The 22,739-nt window shown below is 36.7% G+C and overlaps 1 protein-coding gene across 25 annotated transcripts in view; it reads right to left on the reverse strand.

Annotated features, from left to right (window-relative positions):
- SCAPER (S-phase cyclin A associated protein in the ER) overlaps positions 1-22,739 on the reverse strand; it is a 557,437-nt gene that overhangs the window by 155,651 nt on the left and 379,047 nt on the right. For all 25 annotated transcript variants that reach the window (NR_148227.2, XR_007064448.1, XM_017022273.2 and 22 more), the window contains one exon: positions 1,305-1,420. Coding sequence is in view for 23 of the 25 variants with exons in the window: in XM_017022273.2 (XP_016877762.1) it covers positions 1,305-1,420 (116 nt within the window). In the remaining 2 variants the exon portion in view is untranslated. The remainder of the gene's footprint in view (positions 1-1,304; positions 1,421-22,739) is intronic.

The following is a 22,739-nucleotide window of genomic DNA, read 5'->3' on the forward strand; positions in this document are numbered from 1 at the left end:
ATTATAATATACAAATATACACTATAATGAACACTTAACAGTTTACAAAGAGGTCTCATATATGTTATTTCAACCGGTCCCATAGTAGCACCACGAGGTGAATATGATTACATTTATTTTTCCAAATAAGGAAACAGATGCAATGAAATTAAGGCACTCACTCAAATTTTCTTAGCTAGTAGCCTGGCAGAGGTAAAACTAGAACCCATGTTTGTCCTACTCCAAAGCCAATGCTATTTCTTTTTAATACAAATGCCTCTCAGAAAAAAAAGATAACATACTCTTGGAATTTTTTTTCCTGTTGTATCCAATGGACAAATGAAGCATTTACTTTTTTTTTTTTCTTTTTGAGACAGGGTCTTGCTCTGTTGCCCAGACTAGAATGTGGTGATGCAATCATGGTTCACAGCAGCCTTGACCTCCTGGGCTCTAGTGATCCTTCCTTTCTTAGCCTCCTGAGTAGCTGGGACTACAGGTGTGTGCCACTATGCCTGGCTAAATTTGTTAATGTTTTGTAGGGACGGGGTCTCGCTACATTGCCCAGGCTAGCCTTGAACTTCTGGCCTCAAGTGATCCTCCTGCCTTGACCTCCCAAAGTGCTGGGATCATAGATGTGAGCCATTGCGCCCTGCCTAAATGAACTTTTATTAAAACCTCTTATTTAAACTCTGTAAATAAGAGTCTCCACAAAATACCCAGAAACTGCAGACGTTACAACCCAGGAACACAATACTTCTGAAACAACATTGCTGCTATACCCCAGGTGGCCAGGGACTAAAGGGGGACTTAAGAGAACAGGAAAGCAATTTACCGTTAAAGACCAACGTGCAACTCAGTTCCCAGCAATTTGGCTGGGATGCTAGACTATGGCACTCTTCGCCTCTGACTGCTCTTCCTGTATGGTAGGAACTTCTTGCAATTTCACAGCTCAGACTTTTGCTAATGTACTTACTCACCTCTTTTTTCACATGTAACACAGTAAGTTAGCTTTCTGTTACTATTATTTATTTTGCTCAATTTTTGGAAGCAGTTAGAATTGCTCAAGAGTTCATCAATTCTTCTTGATTTCAGATTAGAGCACATCACAGACCAAAGAGATTTCCTTTATAAGGCTTTTTAGGCTCAATTTGAGTTTCGTAAGTGACGTTGAGCACCTCTGTTTTTCTCCCTAATGGGGAGTGTAAGATTTTGGTATTCAACCCTGAATACACATACAATTTTCTTGTGGTTCTCCATATGGAAACCATAGGGCAGAAATGACTCACAAATGAAACGTAAAAAATAGATTAAGAAACTATACTTACTTAGGAGGAATTCTTAAAACTGTGTTCACATTTGTGGCTGGGACTACTGCTTGAAGGATGTGTTCAAGGGCTGTTAATCCACCAGCAGCTTGAAATGCAATCTGATCTGCCACATTCTAGACAGAAATACAAACAGAAGTTAGCCCAATTTCCCAGGCATTAAACTATAACCAAATGATATCTGTAGTCTGAAACATACTGATGGTTCAACTATTCTACAAATATTATTTTATAAATATTTGCTGAATGCTACTCACTGCTAATTGTTTCAGTACTAGGAAATATAGGTCAAAAGGAGTGAGCATAAAACATATGGTTGCTGTCCTCCATGAAGCTTAAAATTGGTAGATGGCAAGCACAGGCAACCAAAGCAAAAATGGACAAGTGGGATCACATCAAGTTAAAAAGCTTCTGCACAGCAAAGGAAACAATCCACCAAGCAAAGAGACAACCCACAGAATGGGAGAAAATATTTACAAACTATCTATCTGACAAGGGATTAACAACCAGAATATATAAGAGCTCAAACAACTCTGTAGGAAAAAATCTAATAATCCAATTTTAAAATGGGCAAAAAATCTGAATAGACATTTCTCAAGAGAAGACATACAGATGGCAAACAGGCATAGGAAAAGGTGCCCAACATCACTGATCATTAGAAAAATGCAAATCAAAACTACAGTGAGATATCATCTCACCCCAGTTAAAATGTCTTTTATCCAAAGACAGGTAGTAACAAATGCTGGTGAGGATGTGGAGAGGGAACTCTCATACACTGTTCGTGGGAATGTAAATTAGTACAATCACTATGGAGAATAGTTTGGAGATTTTTCAAAAAACTAAAAACAGAGCTGCCATATGACCCAGCAATTCCACTGGTAGGTATATGCCCAAAAGAAAGGAGATCCATATATCTAAGAGATATCTGCTCTCCCATATTTACTACAGCACTATTCACAATATAGCCAAGAACTGGAAGCAACCTAAGTGTCCATCAGGAGATGAGTGGATAAAGAAAACGTAGTACATATATGGAATGGAGTACTATTCAGCCATAAAAAGGAATGAGATCCTGTTATTTGCAACAACATAGATGGAAGTGGAGGTCCTTATGTTAAGTGAAATGAGCCAGGTGAAGTAAGACGAACTTCACATGTGCTCACTTATTTGTGGGAGCTAAGCATTAAAACAATTGAACTCATGGAGATAGAGAATGGAAGGATGGGTACCAGAGACTGAGAAGGGTAGTGGGGGGGACGGGGTAATGGGGAAGGAAGTGAGGGTAGTTAATGGGTACAAAACAATAGTCAGAAAGAATAAGACCTAGTACTTGATAGCCCAACAGCGTGAATATAATCAATAATAATTTAATTGTTCATTTACAAATAACTAAAAGAATATAGTTGGATTGTTTGTAACACAAAAAATGAATGCTTTAGGTGATGGATACCCCATTTACTCAGATGTGATTATTAAGCATTGTATGCCTATATCAAAATATCTCATGTATACCATAAATACATATATAAACTATGTACCCACAAAAATTAAAAATTAGAAAAAAAAATGAGTGGCTAGGACCAACACTAATCAGATAGTTATAAATAAGGTGATTTTAATTATAAGTACCTTGAAAGATAAAAGGTTCTCTATGAGAATAATGGGGGAATCAACTATATAATGGGGAAAGGGTCAGGATAGGCTTCTCTGAGAAAATTGAAGTTTTAAGACATGTAAAAGAAAGTGGGAAGAGAAGAAGCACTCCAGGCAAAGGAAAAAAATTATATATACATTTTTAGCAACACTTACTTAAAAATCACATCTTTATCACATTGTAATCTTAATTACCACCTAACAATATAGACTTCCACAAAGATTCCCTCTACTAGAATATTTGTCTTCAGCAATAAAAGATAATCTAATATCTAATCATTTTAGCTGTATCCTTTTTAAAAAATACCATTTCAGCTATTTTGGGAGAACATTAAGTAACAATTTTAGAACTAAACCTATGATTATTTCTATGCAATTTACGATCTGTATATAATTCTTGTGGGAAATAACATTTCCAAGTTATTTGCATTTCTTTGGCATGGGGAAGAGAAGAGTAATTCTATGCTACACTGTATGTTTTTAAGCACAGGTAGAATCAATGCAATATATATGTAAAAAATAAGATAGCAACTTATTGTGACTTGAATTGTGCCCCCCTCAAAATTCATATGTGGAGGTCCCAACCCCTAGTATTTCAGAATATAACTGTATTTGAAGAGAAGATCTTTAAAGTGGTAACTAAGTTAAAAGTGAGGCCGTTAGAGTAGGCTCTGGTCCAATATGACTGGCGTTCTTATAAGAGGAGAAAGAGACACTGGGGTTACACCTGCACAGTCAAGAAGCTACATGAGGACACAGCAAGTGGTGGCCATCCATGAGCCAAGGAGAGAGGTGTCAGGAGAAACCAAACCTGTTGACACCTTGATCTTGGACTTCCAGCATCTAAAACCGAGGGAAAATCAATTTCTGTTGTTTAACCAACCCAGTCTGTGGCACTTTCTTATGGCAGGCCCCAAGCAAACTAATACAACCCCTCTATTACATCACCACCTTATATTTCTTCTAATAGCATTCCACAGCCTTGAAACGCTGAAATACTGAGGTTTTTTTTGAAAAGGGAGTAGGGAGAAGATATTAGTATATATAAGCTCTGTCAAACATATTTGCCTGATTCTCCTGGTGTTCTGAGCATTAATGACGTATCAATTATTGTCTCCAGCACATGTCTAGAGTTTAGCAGTGTAATCAAATGCTTATCTTAATCATTCAATTGCTCTTTGTGCACAATAAAATACATTTTGTGACTATAAGTTCATTGTGAAAGCTAGACGACTCATACACTTAAGATTAAAATTAATAATTTTGTTATTAATGTAAAAATATTTCTTTGCAATAAAACTAACAATCAAAACCTGCAAAATCCAGGTACTTAGTAATTTACTTAATACTGTAATGCTGTTGTTACTGCCTCTGTTTATGCTAGGATGTCAACATATTTAGAATAATAAGCTCTGTATTATCATATAATATACACAAAGAAAAGTGCACTAATCGTAATTGTACAGCTGGATGCATGAAAACAAATTGAACACATTGTGTTACAACTCCAAAATTAAAATACAAAGCTTTATAGTATGCCTTGGTATCCCTTGTGCCCATCTTATTCACTGTCTCTTCCTTGTCCCAAAATGTAAAGGTTATCCTGACTTTTAAACTCATGAATTCATTTTGCCTTCTTTTCATATCTATACCACACTTTACCCAACTGTGTCTAGCTTTTTTTGGTTGATTGCTTATTTCTAAATTCATTCATGTTGCTGCCTGTAGCAGTATTTCATTCATTTTCTTTGCTGTATATTTTCTGGATATTATTCTATATCCACTTATTTAAGTGTTTCACTGCTGGTTGACATTTAGCTTGTTTCTACTTTGACACTTTGGACAACACTCCTTTAAACATTTGTGCACATGTATTTGGCACATGTGATATGCAGCTATATTGGGCATATCTAGGAGTAGAACTGCTGGGTCACAGAGTATGCATAGGTTCAGTTTTAGTAGCTATGGCCAAACAGCTTTCTAAAATATTTCAAACAATGTTTGTGGTATAGTGTTAATTTCAGTTATTCCACATTCTCACTCAAAATTGGTTTTACCAGTCTTTTTAACTTTAGTCATTGTAATGGGTGTGTACTGGCATTTTTTTGAGGTTTTTATTTGCTGTTTCCTGATGACCAGGCAGGTTGAACATCTTATGTTTACTGGCTGTTTGTGATTTTAAAAATTTAATTCAGGTATATCTTATAATAGGGTGAAAGGCTCAGATCTTAAATATACTGTTCAATCAAACTTGACAAATGCTTATCAAGACACATCCATTTCTATCACTCCAGAAAGTTCCCCCATGCTCCTTGTATGGTCAATCCTTCCTCCCTGAAGCGACAACTGATTTGTTTCATAGTACCATAAGTTAGGGTTGTCTACCATAGATTTTCAAATAAGTTAAATCATATAGTATGTATAAATATTTTCTGGATTTAATTTGGTAGGGACTGGCTATCCTACCAGTAGTTGTACACCAAGCCTAGGGAACTATGGAAACATCTCAAGTGTAGGGAAAATGGTAAAGGGTCAAGATGGGGATGTAAACATACACCTCCTTTCTTATATGTAAAACAAATAAGGATTCCAGATAAAATATTTTAAAACATTAAAAATCATAACCATATTAAAAAATAAATGAAACATCTCTGTGAAACAGGGATGGAGAAGCTCCTAGCAATGCATAAGGCAAGGGTCCAATTTTTAGTAGATTCTCAAAAGAACATTTGCTCCTTTAGATTATCCCCTCTTCTTCAGCTTTCACACTGATTCAGCCTCCAAATTCTGAATATTCTACTTCTGTTACACTTCTTGCCTCTTCTATCCATGACTACTGTTGATTACCATGTCAGGACCATGTCTAGTTAGGTTCTCATGGTATCTTGTTTGAGGTATTACAGCAACCTCCTAATTAGTATCTTTGGGTCCAAGCTTACCCTAACCAGCCCATTTGCTAGAGCACTGCTTCCCAAACTCTATCGAATAAAAGCCAATTTTTTGTTTTTAAAATTTTTACTCCATTATAGACTGACACTTTTGTGAAATACAATACAGATGAAGTACTGAACAAATGGGAAAAAATGTACTAAGTAGAAGGCCACATTTTAAAATAGTGTGAAAATAACCACATTGCCAAAGGCACTCTAAAAATTCAATGCTATTCCCATCAAAATGCTACCATCATTCTTCACAGAACTAGAAAAAACAATCCTAAAAATCACATGGAACCAAAAAAGAGCCTGCACAGCCCAAGCAAGACTAAACAAAAAGAACGAATCTGGAGGCATCACATTACCTGATTTCAAACTATACTATAAGGCCACAGTCACCAAAACAGCATGGTACTGGTATAAAAATGGGCACACAGACCAACGGAACAGAACAGAGAACCCAGAAATAAACCCAAATACTTAAGAGCCAACTGGTCTTCAACAAAGCAAACAAAAAACTTAAAGTGGGTAAAGGACACCATATTCAACAAATGGTGCTGGGATAATTGGCAAGCCACATGTAGGAGAATGAAACTGGATCCTCATCTCTCACCTTATACAAAAATCAACTCAAGATGGATCAAGGACTTAAATCTAAGACCTGAAACTATAAAAATTCTAGAAGATAATATCGGAAAAACTCTTCTAGACATTGACTTAGACAAGGATTTCATGACCAAGAACCCAAAAGCAAATGCAATAAAAACAAAGATAAATAGCTGGAATTTAATTAAACTAAAGAGCTTTTGCATGGCAAAAGGAACAGTCAGCAGAATAAACAGACAACTCACAGAGTGGGAGAAAATCTTCACAATCTATACATCCAACAAAGGACTAATATCTAGAGACTACAAGGAACTCAAATTAGCAAGAAAAATTAGCAAACAACAACAACAACAAACAAACAACCCCATCAAAACATAGGCTGAGGATATGAATAGACAATTCTCAAAAGAACATATACAAATGGCCAATAAACATATGAAAAAATGTTCAACATCACTAATAATCAGGGAAATGCAAATCAAAACCACAATGTGATACCACCTTACTCCAGCAAGAATGGCTATTAAAAAAAATAGATGTTGGTGTGGATGCAGTGAAAAGGGAACATTTCTACATTGCTGGTGGGAATGTAAACGAGGAAAACAGTGTGAAGATTCCTTAAAGAACTAAAAGTAGAAGTACCATTTGATCCAGCAATTCCACTACTGGGCATCTACCCAGAGCAAAAGAAGTCATTATGCTAAAAAGATACTTGCTCACGCATGTTTATAGCAGCACAATTCGTGATTGCAAAAATGTGGAACCAACCCAAATGCCCATCAATCAACAAGTGGATAAAGAAACTGGTGCGCGCGTGTGTGTGTGTGTGTGTGTGTGTGCGCGCGCGCACGTATGGAATACTACTCAGCCATTAAAAGGAATGAATTAATGCCATTTGCAGCAGCCTGGATGGGACTGGAGACTATTATTTTAAGTGAAGTAACTCAGGGATGGAAAACCAAACATTGTATGTTCTCACTCATAAGTGGGAGCTAAGCTATGAGGATGCAAAGGCATAAGAATGATACAATGAACTCTGGGGACTCAGGGGGAAAGGGTAGGAAGAGGGTGAGGGATAAAAGACTACAAATTTGGTTCAGTGTATACTGCTGGGGAGATGGGTGCACCAAAATCTCACAAATCACCACTTAAGAACTTACTCATGTAACCAAATATCACCTGTTCCCCAAAAACCTATGGAATAAATAAATAAAATAAAAGAAATAAATAAAATAGTAGATGCAAAAAGACATAAAATTACTCTGTCAACTTGCAAAATTTACTCTTGATTTGTGTATTTATCTCATTATGTTTCATAACAGTGGCCTGGCAATGGCTTATGGACTCCGTTTGAGTAGTCCTGCCTTGGATACACACTGAAGAAATACCCTAAAGAGTAAATGTCATTACATCACTCTTTGCTTAAAACACTCCAGGGACAACTTCTTCACAGTCTACAGAAAGAGATTCACGGACCTCAGAATGATCCCTCTCCAATAGCCTCCTTCCCTGCCAGGATCCTTCCTCTCTTGTAACCAAATTCCTTATATAACCTCTACTTTTTCATGCCTCTGTGCTTTTGCATAAACTGTTCCTTTTCAGGAAGGATGATCCTCTAGTTTTTCATCTTTGTATCTCCACTAAACTCTGAGCTTGCTGATGTCAGAGACCATGTCTGCTTTATCATCATATCCCAACGACTTAGCACAGGGGACTGCACTCAGTAATTGCTCACAATGTTTGCTGAATGAGAAGGAAGGCTGACAAAGATACACTTATTATATATATATATATGTGTGTGTGTGTGTGTGTGTGTGTGTGTATATATATATATATTTTTTTTTTTTTTTGAGATGGAGTCTTGCTCTGTCACCCAGGCTGGGGTGCAATGGCGTGATCTCGGCTCACTGCAACCTCTGCCTCCTGAGTTCAAGTGATTCTTCTACCTCAGCCTCCCGGGTAGCTGGGATTACAGGCACCTGACAACATGCCCGGCTAATTTTTGTATTTTTTTTTTAGTAGAGACGGGGTTTCACCATGTTGGTCAGGCCGGTCTCGAACTCCTGACCTCAGGTGATCCACCCGCCTCGGCCTCCCAAAGTGCTGGGATTACAGGCGTGAGCCACCATGTCCGGCCCCATTATACATGGTTTTAACTGCTAAAACACAAACAATAATTTCTCTAGTATGATTGCAGGATGAAATCCTCCATTCTTGTTACTATGTTTGCCTCACAGAATAGTTTTTCACTGGAAATGAGCTTCATGACCAAAGAATGAGATTCAGTTTTCCAAGACTGAAGGAAATGTTCGCCCTGAACTTCCTTAACAACCATTAAGAAGGGAACTAAACTCTCCTCTCATATTCCATCTTAGTGTAAAGCCTTTAGGTACTGACATCTCTCAACTCAAAAACAGGGCATAGAGTACTTTAAGCCAAGCAGAAACACCGGCTGATCAGTCTGTCGACAGGGAAATCAAGCAGCACCACTGCTATTCCTGCAGACCCTCCACAATGGGAGGAAACTGGGTCAGCACTGCAGAAGTGGAGGGGAAAAGGACTGAGTAAAAGCAGATCATTTTAATGTATACATCTATGCCTTAAAAAAAAACCCTCCAAAAAACCCTCAAAGCCTTTTCTGCAATGCCAACAACATGGATGCGACCTCTTGAAAAACCTAAGACACAAGCTCTAACAGATACTAAACAGGACCAAATAAGCCAATTTCAGGAAGATAAAGGCTATTCAGAGCCAACTTTTTACTAATGTACTATTGGAAACTGAAGTTTCAGTTTATTATTTGCAGCTTTTCCAGAAAAAAAAAAAAAAAGCAAAAAAGCAAAATCAACTGTGAAATTAAAAAATCTCCCAAATCTCCACCTGGAGCTAAGGAAGATTCTGGTTATGTGTACTTCTGGATTAGAGATGCAACAAGCCACCTCGGGACTCTCTTCCATGGAGCATGGCCAGATAGACACACTGCTCAGTATCATCCTAAGTTCTTCATGTCCCACATCAAGCCCTATTCATCCATCACCTCTGCCGTACCTCATGGCCCCATTCTCTCTTGTCTGCAAGCTCCTCAAGAGTGGCATCTGACTCATCTTTGCAGCCCCAGTCCTGGCACAGAGCAGGAATGGTAAATACCTGATAGATTAGTGATGGAACAAAAGAATGAACAAGTGAAAGGACTTATTTCAGACAGTAAAAATGTTCTGTGAGATATGATAGATTAACACAACATAGAGGCATGTTAAATATAACAAGGAGAAATACTGCTCACTGGATTCCATTCCCTAACAGTTTATACATAAAGATGGATGAAACAATCCTGTGATATTAGAGATGATTTCTTCATCTCATGGGGACAGAAAGGGAAAATCAAGCTGTCTCAATGATGAACCAACAAAATATTAAAACTAAGAGAGAAAAAAACCTTCGCAAGCATGTGGCGTTAAATACCTTATATGCAAATCTAAAAAGAAAATAATCCTCATACAAATCTAGGTAGACTTAAAGAACACAGAAAGCTTCCCCATCTCTTGTTCCTCTCTTTTCATACCACACTAACTTCCTGTGCCAATCACTTGGCACTTCTTATACAGTGCTCTGATTACATTTCTGGATGGCTTAATACCATAATAATAAGACTGGATGCTCTTCAGATACACCATTTCATACTTGTCCCTATCCCTCTTAGCATCCAGAAAAAGCAAGTACACTAAAAATCCTTAACCATAATTATCTTCTCCGTTCAAACTGCCACCTTTCCAACTTGTAGTGTTCAAATGCTCTCCCAATCCCTTAAGACCAAGATCAAATGTTGCTTCTTCTGTTAAGTCACTCAGATCCCCTCAACTAAAATCAAAGCTCTCTGTATATTTAGCTGTATTTTTTTGTGTGGCCCTTACCACTTTCTACTTTACGCAAAGTTATTTGTGTCCATGTAGTAGACTGTAAAGCCTATACTCTCCTATGTCTGTGTTCCTACCCAGGGCCAAGCACAGGATGCACACACTGCAGGTATCAAGCAAAGTGTTTTCAGTGACTGAAAATATCTCATTCTAGAAAGGTGAATTCCCGTTTACCCCTTTTCTAATTCTCTGCATTCAGACATATGAAACTGGAAAAAACTTTCACAGAAAGCTTGGTAATTCTGATTTGATTGAGAAAAACATACCTTTAAAGATAAGATGTGTGGCTTCCCTTATGTACCTGGCATAATACCTTAAAAGCTCTGCCTTCCCCTGCTCTCACCCACTGTGAGACTGACAACTGACTAATAGGATTAGTGGCTCCATTCTAATAACCCCACTTAGCTAAAGGCCAGCAAAAAATGACAGTCTCAATCTGAATTACACAGTCAGGGAATCCATCCAATTATTAACTAGAGTAACTGTTATTACCTCTCCCAATCAAAGAAGAGGCAGCTGTTAATCTTTGGCAGCCTGCAAAGGCTAGTGGCCTTTGTACTTGACTTTTCTGTAGACAATAATTATGTTCTTTGTGATCAGGGAGGAAGGCCTTCAAAGCTTTTTAGACAGAGGTGGCAGATGGGGAAAACTGTTTGCGTGTTCATTAGCAGTATAGGCTACATTTGTTCTGAGCATCTGTGGCACCTTAAGACCTGTTTAGAGAAAATACAAGTAGGTTTTGGCAAGTCCATAAATTTAGAACTCAGTAGCCTAATTTATAGAGATGAGAACGTCCTGAAGTGAAAATTTTTATGGTCGTTTTTCCCAATATGGAAAACTTTACTAACACTTAAAAGACATCATTTCCACTTTTCTACTATCCTTGTCTGTTAATGTTAGTTTAAAAGAAGGAAGCACAATGAGATGATGCTCCTTGTTCTGTGTTTTTCCCTTACAAGCTTCCTAACTGCTGGCTTCTTTATATTCCTATAATCTACATAAATATCTATGCTCAGCTTTTCAGCTGTAGGCACTAACACTGATAGTACTAGGTTTTGGGGTCAAGGATGTTACAAGAACAAAAACATACTGTGGGAAGGTGATGCCAAAAACAGTAAAATTATAAGCTACAGTTTGAAGGCTTAGGCGATACAGTAAGTGGGGCTGAGAGGCTAGAAAAGCTTTCTCAGTATCAGAGGAACAATTCCTTTGCGATGCTAATTGGAAGTTGGACTCTTTGGAAGACGCTCCCTGAGGGAGCTGAATTGTGCCATTTCTGACCCATTTGGACTAAGGAAGGAAAGAGCAGAGTGAGTGAGAGAGGGTGAGTGCAGTAACTGAAGGACAGAAGCAGACCACAAGACCTGAGTGGTCTTTCTCTTTCTTTTTAAGCTGTTGGGAGATAGATGACCAAAGATTAGTATGAAGAGTTCATTACTGCAACTATGGTTCCTTTTTTCTTTGCCCCTATATCTCAAGTATCCTGAATGTTTTAAAGTTTGAAGGTAAAAGAAATTTGGGACTATGAGAGCAAAGAAAATTTGCTTTGGGCAAATGGGTTATATAGACAAGAGCCAGTAACATGGACAAACTCTAATGGGTCCAGCAGCTCCCAGGAGGCAGGACCTTAGAGCTCAGAGGCTTTTCTCAGAGGTGGCAATTTCTATTTTCTCTCCATCATAACACTTTTGCTTCTTTACTGATTTTTCTATTTATTTGGTTGTAAACTAAATCATAATGATTATAGTATCTGTTTACTTCATCACAAACTAGATTGCGAGGTCTCTAACAGCTGGAATTATGTTTATATTGCGTCTAGCAAAAAGCAGGTGTTCAATAAATATTTGCTGAATCAAAGAATAAAGTTACAATCAATTTAATTCCTGGGGCTCTGACATCAGAAATTCCCTTAAGAGGAGAGACAGCCCATCAATGAGAAAGAAAAGGCTTAGAATCCCACAGCCTTGGAAAAGTCAAGGTAAGGGTACAAGTAAGCTAGGAACTTTGGAAAACGTTACTGGTCCTTGTCTGTGCTGACAGAGAAGGCAGGCCCTACTGTTAGGCCTGCCTGAAGGGAAAGAGGGAAAGGAGAGACCAGAGATGTGAAGGCCAACCACAGGGCCTTTGTCAATCATCCTGTCTTACTCATCTTGGCATCAGTTTTTTTTGCGTTATTCTTAGGGAAAGTAGTGACCCAGAACTCAGAACTTTCTTTCTTTCTTTTTTTTTTTATATATATTCTTTTAAAAAATTTTTTAAATTATACTTTAAGTTCTGGGATACATGTGCAGAATGTGCAGGTTTGTTACATTGGTATACACATGCCATGGTAGTTTGCTGCACCCATCAACCTGTCACCTACATTTGGTATTTCTCTTAATGCTATCCCTCCCCTAGCACCACCCCCCACCCCACCCCCGCAACTGGCCCCAATGTGTGATGTTTTCCTCCCTGTGTTCTCATTGTTCAATTCCCACTTATGAGTGAAAACATGCAGTGTTTGGTTTTCTGTTATTGTGTTACTTTGCTGAGAATGATGGTTTCCAGCTTCATCCATGTCTCTGTAAAGGACATGAACTCATCCTTTTTTTATGGCTGCATAGTATTCCATGGTATGTATGTGGCACATTTTCTTTATCCAGTCTATCATTGATGGACATTTGGGTTGGTTCCAAGTCTTTGGTATTGTGAATAGTGCTGCAATAAACATATGTGTGCATGTGTCTTTATAGTAGAATGATTTATAATCCTTTGGGTATATACCCAGTAATGGGATTGCTGGTGACCCAGAACTTTCTATATCCTGAGGGACAGAGGGGGAAAGCAATTCTTGGGAGTCAAAACAAACTTAAGGAGGAAACAGGAACCCAAATTTTACTTTTATCAAATTACCATCTTGGAGGGCTACTGAGAGCAACATTTCGAGGGCTTATCATGTAACAGGCCCTGGGCTATCTTCACATATAAGTCCTCACAACAATCCTATGAGGTAGGATTCATTAGCCCCATTATACAGATAAGGAAATCAGTCTTAGAACAATCAGTTACTTGCTCAAATGTACAAAGCTAGAGGTAGCAGAGCTGGGGACTGAGTCTAGGTTTATCTGATTTCTGAGTGTGTAATGGGTTTACACCAAGAGTGCTGTGGGAAAATCTTGCATGTAACTGCAAGTATGCGTTTGACTTTTGGGACCCTTATCTCTAAATAGCCCAAATTTATAAAATCTTGGGCTACTTAGAGCCCAAGATTTTACTATATATACATACACTTTTAAAAATATATTTTTAAAACTTTTTATTTTCAAGTAATTTTAGATTTATAGAAGGGTTGCAAGGATAGTAGAGATTTCCTATATGCCTTAGTCGAGCTTTCCTTTATATTAACATCTTTTTTTTTTTTTTTTAGATGGAGTCTTGCTCTGTCACCCAGGCTGGAGTGCAGTGGTGTGATCTTGACTCACTGCAACCTCTGCCTCCCGGGTTCAAGCCATTCTCCTGCCTCAGCCTCCCAGGTAGCTGGGACTACAGGCATGTGCCACTACACCCGGCTAATTTTTTTGTATTTTTAGTAGAGATGGGGTTTCACATATTGGCCAAGCTGGTCTCAAACTCCTGACCTCAAGTGATCCACCCGCCTCGGCCTCCCAAAGCGCTGGAATTACAAGCGTAAGCCACCGTGCCCAGCCCATATTAACATCTTATATAACCATGGTATGTTTATCAAAACTAAGAAATTATATTGGTAGTATACTTTTAACTAACCTACAGCCTTTATTTTGATTTTCTGTTTTTCTATTGATGTCCTCCTTTTTCTGTTCCAGGATTGAATATAGAATACCACATGCATTTAGCTTAATAATATTTTAAAGATAAGTAAAGTTACTTTTAGGATTAGAGGAGGGATCCCGAGCTTTCTTATATTAGCATTCACTAGCAGCTAAAAAAAAAAATCCTTGAAATAATCCAGACTCAAAGAATATAAAGGAATGTTAAGTTTGACTATCACAAGTAAATAAAAAGGAAATGAAAGAGCTAACTAGATTCTAAGGGACTGAAATATGAGTAGTTCTTTTAACCAGTGGTGCAGTTCTTGAGATTGCCAGGAAATGGGAAGAAATGTGCACACAGCAGGAGGGAAACAGGCCTTGGGTAAGGTGGCAGGAAATGTGGGAAAATGTGGGACCAGGGTTAGAAAAGACTCCAGGTGGCCCAAGATGGGCTCCCTGCAGCTCAAGCCCCAGCTGGCCTTCAATAGTTCCTCAGCCAGGGCATCTTTCAAAACACCTTCCTTCCTGGATATCAGAACTGGAGCTCATCTCTGCAGGCTCTGCTTCCAACTTCAGCAGAGATACTGCTTCAGGCTTTAGAGTACGCCTTTTCCACTTGTGCCATGATAAGATATTTATTGCAATATATATATTTTTTCTTTCCAAGAAGCAGCTGGGGTAAAAGTCTTTAGATGAGGCACAAGGAAAGTCAAGCACAGCTAATTTTAGAGATGATCCTGTTAGCAAGTACTGGGTCTGCTTAATTTAGTCTAAAGGAAACGAAGGGAAGGAAACAGCTAGTGATAGGCAGGGGCAGGGTTTTCTCAGATGGATTATCTGGAGCCTGCTCTCTGGAGCTAGAGACCCTCCTGTTCTCTAGCACCTAAAAGGCTTATGGGAGAAACACAGGAGGCAAAAACATTGCAAAATGTGTTCCTATCAGACTATCTGACACAAAATGCAGTGCAGCAAGGAAGAAGGTAAAGATGAACCACCTTTCAGCACGGGGACTTCAAGGTACCCACATTAATCTATACTTTGATCATGGATGAACAGTGTTTAACATTGTTGAGCTTCTGTTCTCCATCATAATGTCACAAATAATACCTTCTTATATGGAGAACAGTGTGAAAACTTTTTTCAGAATATCTGTTCTTCTTGATTTTGCTAAAGCAAATGTGATCAAGTGTTTACTGAAGAGTTAATATTGCCCCACTGAATTCTAACTTTAGAGCTACTCTGTGCTGCTACTATTAGCTAGTGAGAATAAGACCTTTACTAAAGGTGAACTGAAACATTTAAAAGGCTGCTCATTTACGGCAAACAAAACTCAGAAGAGTCGTTAAGCCTGGAGGACACCCGACCATTAAATAATTTTATGAAAAGGCAAATATAAAATCCCTTCCTATTCATAAGGAGCACTTTTAAGTTCATTCGAAGAGAAATTTGAGGATTAATTTATATTTACACAACGCTTTTAATCTGAAATTTAAAATACATTTAGCTTTAAGTCAGCAGGCAAGTTTATATCCTCACTACACAGGCAAGTGATCATATAGAAAATAAATGTAAAGATCCTAAAAAAAAACTATACCTCTGAAAATATTCATTTGTAAATATTAAATGGCACACAACACCAGGAGGCCTTTTTAGCAGGGAAAGGGAGAAGTAGGGATCTGAGAAAGATAGGCAGGAATGACATATTTTATCAGGGGAATCAGGTAGAAAGACCATTTAAGGTTGTTAACTTTGTGATATAAGTGATTTCAGAATAAGTCTTGTCCTAGCAGCTATAGCCCAGAACATCTACTGTCCACTAGACTATGAGCTCCTTATGGGCATGGACTGTGTATCCACTGTTCAGAAGCTATTACAATAGTGGCTAAGAGCATGGCCTATGAAATAATTCTGCCAGAGTTTGGATCTTAACTCCTCCTCTTATCCTCTTGATGCCTCGGTGTTCTTATTCATATAACAGGGCTAATACTTCCTATCTCAAGTGCTTGTTTAGATGACTGAATAATCTGCATAAATGTTAGTGATGATCATCTTTGAATTCTGTCCCCCAAACTCCTCTAGCTAAATAAGTGCCTAATAAATTTTTATGAAACAAATGTTAGTTCCTACTCTAGAGAGCTCTTCCTTTTTCTAGGCTTCACATTTCATTTCTATTTCATTCAATGCTAAGTGATACTCATAATAGTATACCCTTAATGTTCTTGATGGACATATCCTGGGATCTTTGTAGTATCTTAAAATTGTACTACAGTATAGTTTCTCTCATAAAACCTCTATTTTAGCTAAGAATCTAACTACTCACTCATGTTACTTCCTCAAAGGGGCCTTCTCTAACCTCTAGATTGTGTTTAGTCTTCCTACTATATCCATGAACAACTGTGTATTTCCTCAGTTATAATAGTGATCACTCTTTATTGTAATTATTTGTTTGTCTAGAAGGACAGAGCCTATAGCTATCTTTTGTTTTTTTGTTTTTGTTTTTGTTTTGAGACAAAGTCTCACTCTGTCACCCAAGCTGGAGTGCAGTGGTGTGATCATAGGTCACTGCAGCCTCCACCTCCTGGGCTTAAGTGACCCTCCCAACCCAGCCTTCGAGTAGCTGGGACTACAGGCACATGCCACCACACCTGGCTAGTTTTTGTATTTTTAGTAGAGATGGGGTTTTGCCATATTGCTCAGGCTGGGCTTGAACTCCTGAGCTTAAGTGACCCAACCACCTTGACCTCCCAAAGTCCTGGGATGACAGGCATGAGCCACTGTACCCAGCCTATAGCTGTCTTATCACTGCTGTTTCCCATGTGCTTGGTCCATTTTAAAAAATCACTAACATTTGTTGTACTCATACACACCCCCCACCCCCTCAACAGACAAACACACACATGCCCTCTAAGTACTCTCCTAAGTGCTGCCTTGCAAGAACTGTCTCATATCACAACAGCATGAGGTTGATACAATTACTATTCCCATCTACATGTGGAAACTAAAGCTCAGAGAAAATAAGTAGTTGGCTTATGATTATATAAATAGTAAGTGCTGATCAGGAAGTCAAACCCAGATATGTCTGACTCTAGAATCTGAGCTTTCAAACACCATAGTATATTGCCTCCCTGCATGGTACACACTGAAAAACAAAATTGTTTAATTGAACTAAAATGTCTATAAAGTGAATGCAATTATATAAAGGGTCAGTGGCGGGAAGTTTTCCTAGACAGATGATAGCACTACAGATATAATGAACTAAAAACTTTTAGATTAGAGATAGCTCTATGTTACTCCTGAGAGAAAAGTTACTGAAGCTTTGAAAAGGGTCATTATTCAAGTAGCTAAGAATAAATGGTAAAAGACAGAAAATAAGTACAGAATTCAGGAATTTTAGATTAGCAAGGAATGTGAAAATCATCTCATTTCTTTATGAAAATTAAATACTATTAGATGAGACAAAGATATGCCTTGGAATATATTAGGATGGTCATTTTGGGTATCTGTATACTTACTAGCTTTTTATGGTATATTTTATAACTCACTGTCTTGGATTCATATATAAACAGGCTTTGTTAATATATCAATTCAGCAAACTATCTAGTACCTAGAATATATAAGGAATGTATAGTTGGTGCTTTAGAAGACCAAATCTAAGGTCAGAAAAAAAAACCCCAAATAATTAGGCTCACGACTGTAATCCCAGCACTTTGGGAGGGTGGGGAGAGAGGATCTCTGGAGGCCAGGAGTTCGAGACCAATTTTCATTAGTTAATAAACTGAAGTGATAAGAAGAGTTAGCCCTTCATAGCTGTAGTTCGGTTATCCATTTGTGTCCCTGATGTTACAATTAAGTATCACAATAATACATAAATGATATACCTTATATAAAGCGTATACAAAGCTGTTAACAATATTAACAAAATGGCCTAATTAAAAAACACAACTTGTTGAAATACTGACTTCTACATATTCCTCCCATAATTCCAAAATAGGTCAGCTTAACTCTCATGAAGTATTAATGTCTTTAATAAAAGTGGCACACTGCTTTAAATAAATGTATTAAATTTGTTTAAAAAATCTATTAAATTTGTTTCTATGGCAATGGATGCAAAGTTAGTAGACAAGTCTCTAAAGTCTTCTATCAAATGAACTCAGCAGTCTTATCGCCCTGTGTCCCCAGATACTAGGGTACCAATTTGTTTATCACTGATCTTGAATATAAGGATGTTAATGCATTATTCAGAAATGCATTATACATTTTACTGCTTTTGTAGAGAATTTAATTCAGAGAATGCTTTGTGCCCGCAAGAATTTAGTGTAAATTACACATAAAAAATCATGTAATATGTTTCTGACAAGTGATTTATACGTTCCTATTCATCAAAGTAGACTGTTAGTGTATAATATTATTTCTCATTTACATGGGGAATTCTATTCTGAAAAATCCAAAATGCATTGTTACTAACTTTCATTTTCTAAAAATTGTAAAAACCTATGGAGAATAATAATTTAGGTCAAATTATGAGACAGAGACAGAGAGCAAGTACCCCAGTATAATTTATTCCAATTTGAATTTGGTGGAGAGATACTTCTTCAATCACTATACAATGACTGATTCACCAGTAGGAAGTCAGTTACAAGATTGCTGATTTCAATTCTATCAATAAAGCAATGGTTCATCTTCAAATAATAAACTAATTTTTAAGTTTTATATTTTGAGGAAAAAGTAAAACTGTGATACTCAAATTCTAATTCTGAAGGTCATTTGCACCTACAGCTTGTAGCAAGATGTGAAAAATATGGACTGTACAGAGATTGTTGAAATACATACAAGCATGTGCAAAATGCAAACTTCAGATTTTTACACTAAGACAGAGTAGTAAATAAGTATTTCAACCATAAAGTGTAAATGTTAACAAAATGTTGGGGGATGGGGACATTAGAGGAGTGACGACTAAGGTGTAGAATTTCTTTTTAGGGTAATTAAATGTTCTAAAATTGATTGTGGTCATGGTTGCACAGCTCTGTGACTATACTAAAAGCCACTGAATTGTACAGTTTAAATGGGTGAATTGTAAGTCATAAAATTATGTATAAATAGAGCTGTTAAAAATATTAACAAAATGGTCTAATTAAAAATACAACTTCATGTGATATGTTTCTGACAAGTGATTTATACATTCCTATTCATCAAAATAGACTGTTAGTATATAATGTTATTTCTCATTTACATGGGGAATTCTATTCTGAAAAATCCAAAATGCATTGTTACTACATAAATACATATATAATATATATAAATGTTGGTTCCCTAGATATTCCTCCCATAATTCCAAAATAGGTCAGCTTAACTCTCATGAAGTATTCATGTCTTTAATAAAAGTGGCATATTGCTTATATTGCTTTAACCAATCATGATATATAAAATTCAAATTAGAAGACAATTTTATAAAAATATTTTTTACCTTATAAAGGGGTTCACACTCAGTTAAACTAATTGGAGTTATAAAGTTTTAAATAATAGATGAGAAATATATATTTGCATAAAATGAGGAAGACTTGAAATCAGGCAAAACTCCATGATACTAAGTTTGGATATGCCACATTTTTGTTTCTCAAACCAGCCAACCCATTTCCAATATTGTGACCACAGAAGTACTGAGCTATGGTTCCCAGGTCAGTCACTGATTGTCCTTTATGTAAATCTGATAGAACCGACTAATAATCAACAAAGAGATTCAGAATCTATTTGCTTTGGAAAAATGAGTAATAATATAAATAACTTTTAGGATCCAAATTCCAAAGGCAATTAAATTACATCCAGGGAATCATTTATTCACTCAATAAACATTTTTGGGCATCCACCCAATGCCAAATACTGAGGTGGGTCTGCTTTAGGAAGACAGTTAAACAACCATAATTGCATAGTACATATTATAACATGAGTACAATCAGAGGGCTCAGAGAGCACAGAAGAGTAATAACGGTTTACTTTTTTTTGAAGAAAATACATACTTTATATATGAAAAATAACTACTGCAGCATGTTTCCATGTATGCTTGGAGAGGATGATATGCTTTCCATTTCAAAGTCCCAGTCAGTAAAAAATGTGCATAAATCAACAACCACCAATCCCAATTGTTGTGTGTAACTTTGGTGACTTCACTTAACCTCTCCTACCTTAGTTTTTTCATACACACCATGAATTCCTGACTTTCCTAAGACTGAAATAACTGTCAGTACTGAAATAAGACTCTTATGTTAAACTATGGTTTAAAGTTCCTTCAAAACATCAACACAATCAGCTTAACACAAATCTTCCTTATCTTGATGGCCCAATTACTCAAATACTTTACTTACTTTACCAGCAAATCTGTAAAAATTCCATAGCTTTGCAAGACAACATGCAGCAGTAAAATACTGTAAAATGCTTTCCTCTTACAGCAAAAGCAAAACAAAAACAAAAATTCAGATATATGAACCAGCCATGCACGCAACATTTCTATGCTCTGTATAGATGGCACTAGTCTACCCTGTGGAGAATGGAGAGCCATGGTAGAAGGCCTTGAGAAGACTAGTGTCTATATAATGAGACAAAAGTGATAATAAGTAGCTATAAGATAAGGCAAAATTTGGTAGGTGTCTGAAGAAAAGTGCAGACAAAGTGTTTCAGAGTTCAAAGAAGAGAAGATCATTACTTCTGGGAAAATATTTTCATTTAAATTACTAGACATTTATGGATGATTCCATTAGAAACAAGATCAATATAAATATAAGTGAATATTTTAAAATATATTCACTTAATATTTACATCTTACTGCATATTTTTGACTCTATATTTTTATGACACTCAGACATAGAAAATGACAGTCCCAAATTCTGCTTAGAAAAGTTCATTCTGTGCTTTAAGATGTTTAAGATAGCTGTTACAGCTTCTGGAGTTGTGTTTTTTTGTTCTGTTTTTTTTTTTTTTTTTTTTTTTTTTTTACCATTCATGTAAAGACTTACCAATACGTAAGAGTGTATGCATGAAATGAAACAAGAATTGAAAGTTAATTTTGAAAGATCTAGGGAATAAATATGAATGGTAGGTTTACATACAGGGAAGATCTAAGTGACCTAACCATTCAAATAATCCATTGTATGCCCCTTAAAATGTGAAAAATTAAACATAATTACTGACCATATTAAAACAGACTAAACTAATACATGATTGTTAGGCATAATTTATTTTTTGGTAAAGCTAGATTTTCTGTATGTATACCTAAAAAATATATAGGCATTCCTTTGTCTGGGTGCCTATTTTAATTAGTCACTGTTAGAATTTTATCCTGTTAAAAGATTTTCACGGGTAGATCAAGTAATTTTATCTTTTTCTTTATGACATCATTAGCCCCATCTTAGGATTTAACTGATTTTGAATTCTTGGTCTAAAACACAAACTTATAATTATGATGTTTTTCCTGCATAGTAATTTTGATTCATAGGATTAGTAACCTATTGAAAATCTTCACTCTCCTAAACTCATATCTATCATAAGGCCCTTAGCATACTTTAACTCCCAATTATATGCCGTCCTACTATGTTATTGTTGTGGACTACAGTGTAATTTTTTTTCTTTTTTAAATATAAATAAAAAAGTAATTTTATTTTAAAAATTTCAACTTTTATTTTAGATACAGGGGGAACATGTGTGGGTTACATGGGAATACTACATGATGCTGAGGTTGAGCCCATCACCCAGGTAGTGAGCACAGTACCCAACAGGTAGTTTTTCAACTTGCTCCCCCTCCCTCCCCTTCTAGTTGTCCCCATTGTCCACTGCTTCCATCTTTATGTCCATATGTGTTCAGTGCTTAGCTCCCACTTATCAGTGAGAACATGTGGTATTTGGTTTTCTGTTCCTGCATTAGTTTGCTCAGGATTATGGCCTTCATGTTGTTGCAAAGGACATGATTTCATTCTTTTTTATGGCTGTGTAGTATTCAATGGTGTATATATACCACATTTTCTTTATTCAATCCACCATGGATGGGCACCTGGGTTGATTCCATGTCTTTACTATTGTGAATAGCACAGCGGTGAACATAAGAGTACATGTGTCTTTTTGGCAGAATGCTTTATTTTCTTTTGGGTATACACCCAAGTAATGGGATTGTTGGGTCAAATGGTAGATCTGTTTTAAGTTCTTCAAGAAATCTCCAGACTGCTTTCCACAGTGGCTGGACTAATTTACGTTCCCACCAACAGAGTAGACGCATTCCTTTTTCTCTCAGCCTTGCCAGCATCTGTGGTTTTTTGACTTAAAAAAGTAGTTGAACATTGTCAATAATTAATAAAATACTCATGTGTTTTTACAATTTCTAGGTTCATCATTTTTATATATCCTATTCCTTCCCTCTGAGCTCATTTTCTTGTTGAAGTATACCTTTTAATTATTTTTAGTGATGACCTGTGGTAACTATATTTCCTTATCTTTGAATATCTGAAAATAGCTTCATTTTGTCTTCATTCTTGAGTGTTTTACTGTGCATAAAATTCTACATGATAATTATGCATTTTG

The sequence above is a fragment of the Homo sapiens genome, chromosome 15, assembly GCF_000001405.40.
Source record: "Homo sapiens chromosome 15, GRCh38.p14 Primary Assembly".
In the NCBI taxonomy this organism is placed as follows: Eukaryota; Metazoa; Chordata; class Mammalia; order Primates; family Hominidae; genus Homo; species Homo sapiens.